This window comes from Homo sapiens, chromosome 10 (assembly GCF_000001405.40).
Source record: "Homo sapiens chromosome 10, GRCh38.p14 Primary Assembly".
NCBI lineage: Eukaryota > Metazoa > Chordata > Mammalia > Primates > Hominidae > Homo > Homo sapiens.
Genome location: NC_000010.11, coordinates 80,034,983 through 80,038,168, shown reverse-complemented (window position 1 = coordinate 80,038,168; position 3,186 = coordinate 80,034,983). Strand labels below are relative to the sequence as shown.

The window sequence follows — 3,186 nt, the reverse complement described above, 5'->3', positions numbered from 1 at the left end:
GGATCACAGGGGTCCATGGAGGGAATGTGATGTCTGAAGTTCCTTCATCACCACCTCCTTAGATCTGGTCCAGGTCCGGGGACTGGTCCTGGCACCTGGAAACTCTGAGTAGGCTGTGAGCTTCCTCCCTCTAAAACCATGGTGTATGTCTGGCCTTTCCATTGACCCTCAGTGTTTTCTGAAGAGATGTTTGAAATGTGAAGTCTTACTCAATACTTTGTTTCCTCGTCATGGACGAAGTACCCTCCAGTGGCTTGTAGTTGTCCACATTGCACCTTTTTGCTTTAAAGCAATGGTGTGATGGCCATAACCCAGGTTTGAGTATATACACAGTTGTTGTTGTTAGGATGTGGGCCTCTATGTTTTTATTTCCTTATTTAAAATGAGAAAAAACATCTGTAGGTCTTACCTTACAGTGATGTATTCTTTTTGTTCCATTTCCTTCACCCTCTTAAGCAAAATGTTTCTTTCTGAACTCATTTCTTTCTTCATATACCCTATGTATAATATGTACCCCATGTACAGTACCAGCTAAGAGCGGGTGAGTCATGATAGTGATATTCTGCTTTCATTATTTTCCTCACTTCTGCCTTCCAGGTATTCACAACTGACACAGATTTACCAAAAATTTATAGTGCCATAAGATGGGTTGCCATCTTTCTTTCTTTTTTTTTTTCTTTTTTTGGTGAGGGAGTCTCTGTTGTCCAGCCTGGAGTGCAGTGGTGCTACCTCGGCCTACTGCAACCTCCACCTCCCAGGTTCAAGCGATTCTCTGCCTCAGCCTCCTGAGTAGTTGGAACTACAGGCATGTGCCACCATGCTGGGCTAATTTTTGCATCTTTAGTCAAGATGGGGTTTCGTAATGTTGGCTAGGCTGGTCTCAAACTCCTGACCTTAAGTGATCCACCCACCTCGGCTTCCCAAACTGTTGGAATTTCAGTCATGAGCCACCGTGCCCAGCCCATCTGCCATCTTTCTAGGATTCAAAAAGGTTTTGTATCACCCATGGCTTATCTCCAGAGACAAATCTACTCATACAAGTTTTCCTATTATGTCATTTTACCAAAATAAACAATGGGATGATTGTATTCATCAGAGTATCAACCAAGAAAGAGAACTAGTATATATTTAGAGATTTGTTGCAAGGAACTGGCTTATGTGATTGTGGAGGATCACTTGAGAAAGTCCAAAGTCCATAGGAAAGGTTGGACAAGAACTGCTGCCATTGTTCATAGGCAGAATTTTTTTATGGAAGACTCACTTCTGCTTTGAAGGCCTTTTTTCCAACTGATTAATTCAATAATCAGGACCACTTATTGAAAGTCAAGTGGGCCAGGCGAGGTGGCTCACAGCTGCAATCCCAGCACTTTGGGAGGCTGAGGCAGGCACATCACCTGAGGTCAGGAGTTCGAGAGCGGCCTGGCAAACATGGCAAAACCCCGTCTCTACTAAAAATATGAAAATTAGCCAGGCGTGATGACACGTGCCTGTAATTCCAGCTACTCAGAAGGCTGAGGAAGGAAAATCCCTTGAATCTGGGAGACGGAGGTTGCAGGGAGCCGAGATCATGCCACTGCACTCCAGCCTGGGCAACATAGTGAGACTGTCAAAAAAAAAAAAATAAAAAGCCATCTCCTTTAGGATGCTAAGGAACATGACAAAACCAATGAATCCATGAGTATGGGCCCATTGCTATAACTCACTTGCTTGGAAGTGAGTTCCTTGGTTGGAAGCAATGTTGTATGGAGTACCATGACAGCAGATAAGATATTCTGTCAGTTTACAGATAATTCTTTTGGCTGAAGGATTGAGTGCAGGGAAGGCAAAAGCATACCCAGTGTGTCTATTCCAGTAAGAACAAACTTCATTCCTTCTACAATGGTAGTGGTCTAATGTAATTATTTTTCCTCTAGATATAGCTTATCACCCTGGGTGATGGTGCCATACTGGGGACTCAGTGTTAGCCTCTGATGCTTTCTGTAGGTATGATTAGGAGTGTCCAATGGTGATAAATTGCTACATTTAGTCAGGAACCCAGTGCCCTCTCTATTACTGGAACTGGTCATTAGTGCTTTTAAAGTTTGTTTTTGTTTGTTTGTTTTTGGAGATGGAGTCTTGCTGTCACATAGGCTGGCATCCAGTGGCACGATCTTGGCTCACTGCAACCTCTGCCTCCGGGCTCAAGCAATTCTCCTGCCTCAGCCTCCTGAGTAGCTGGGATTACAGGTGCCTGCCACCATGCCTGGCTAATTTTTGTGTTTTTAGTAGAGACGGGAGTTTCACCATGTTGGTCAGGCTGGTCTTGAACTCCTGACCTCGTGATTCACTCACCTTGGCCTCCCAAAGTGTTGGGATTACAGTCCTGAGCCACCGTGCCTGGCCAGTGCCCTTAAAGTTTATTTGATTAGAGAATCAATTTTAGAAACCCAGAATCAATTCAGAAAACTCATCTATAACATTCTTTGTTATACAGCCACTAACAGGACCAATATCTGTGTCAGTCAAAATTCGACCAGAGAAACAGAACCAGTTTTCAAGGAAATTGACTTACACAATTGTGGGGACTGACTAGGCAGGAAAGAAATTTGTAGGGAAAGGTAAGCTGACACTCTCAGGCAGGAGCTAAAGTTGCTCTCCAGTCCCACCCGCATTACAGTGAATAATCTGTTTTGGGTAAAGCCAATTGATTTTATATATTAATCACACATGCAAAATGCATTTATAGCAACACTTGCATTCATGTTTGATGGATGAACTGCAGAGCTTAGACTAACTAACTTGACATATGGCCAGACCACCACATTGATGATGGGATAAAATACTTTTCAGGAAAAGCTGCGGAGAATGTGAAACGTATAAAGTAAGGCGAGACTCTCCATTTGTGAAATAACATGGCCAAGCCAAAATAATTAAGAAATAAAAGAACCTGAACTCAGAGAAGAAAATGCTTAAATATGTGGAAACTAGAGAGCAGAAAACCAAAGTCATATTTGGAAAAGTATCATGATAGACGAAAAATTACGTAGTAGAATCTGTACTTCTACTTAAAATTCATCTTACCCTTAATCTAATTACTTCAAAATCCTTTTAAGTGGTGTTAAATATTTAATGAAGGGATTCAGTAGAAAGGTATTTAAGAAATGGGTGTGGCCAGGCTCAGTGGCTCATGCCTGTAATCCCAGCACT

The 3,186-nt window shown here is 42.4% G+C and overlaps 1 annotated feature.

Moving 5' to 3' along the window:
• Positions 2,211-2,730: an enhancer, noted in NCBI's record as "H3K27ac-H3K4me1 hESC enhancer chr10:81795195-81795714 (GRCh37/hg19 assembly coordinates)". NCBI's record gives its function as "activates a minimal SCP1, AML or CMV promoter by ChIP-STARR-seq in naive H9 embryonic stem cells {active_cell/tissue: H9 hESC(naive)}" and the evidence as "EXISTENCE:reporter gene assay evidence [ECO:0000049][PMID:30033119]".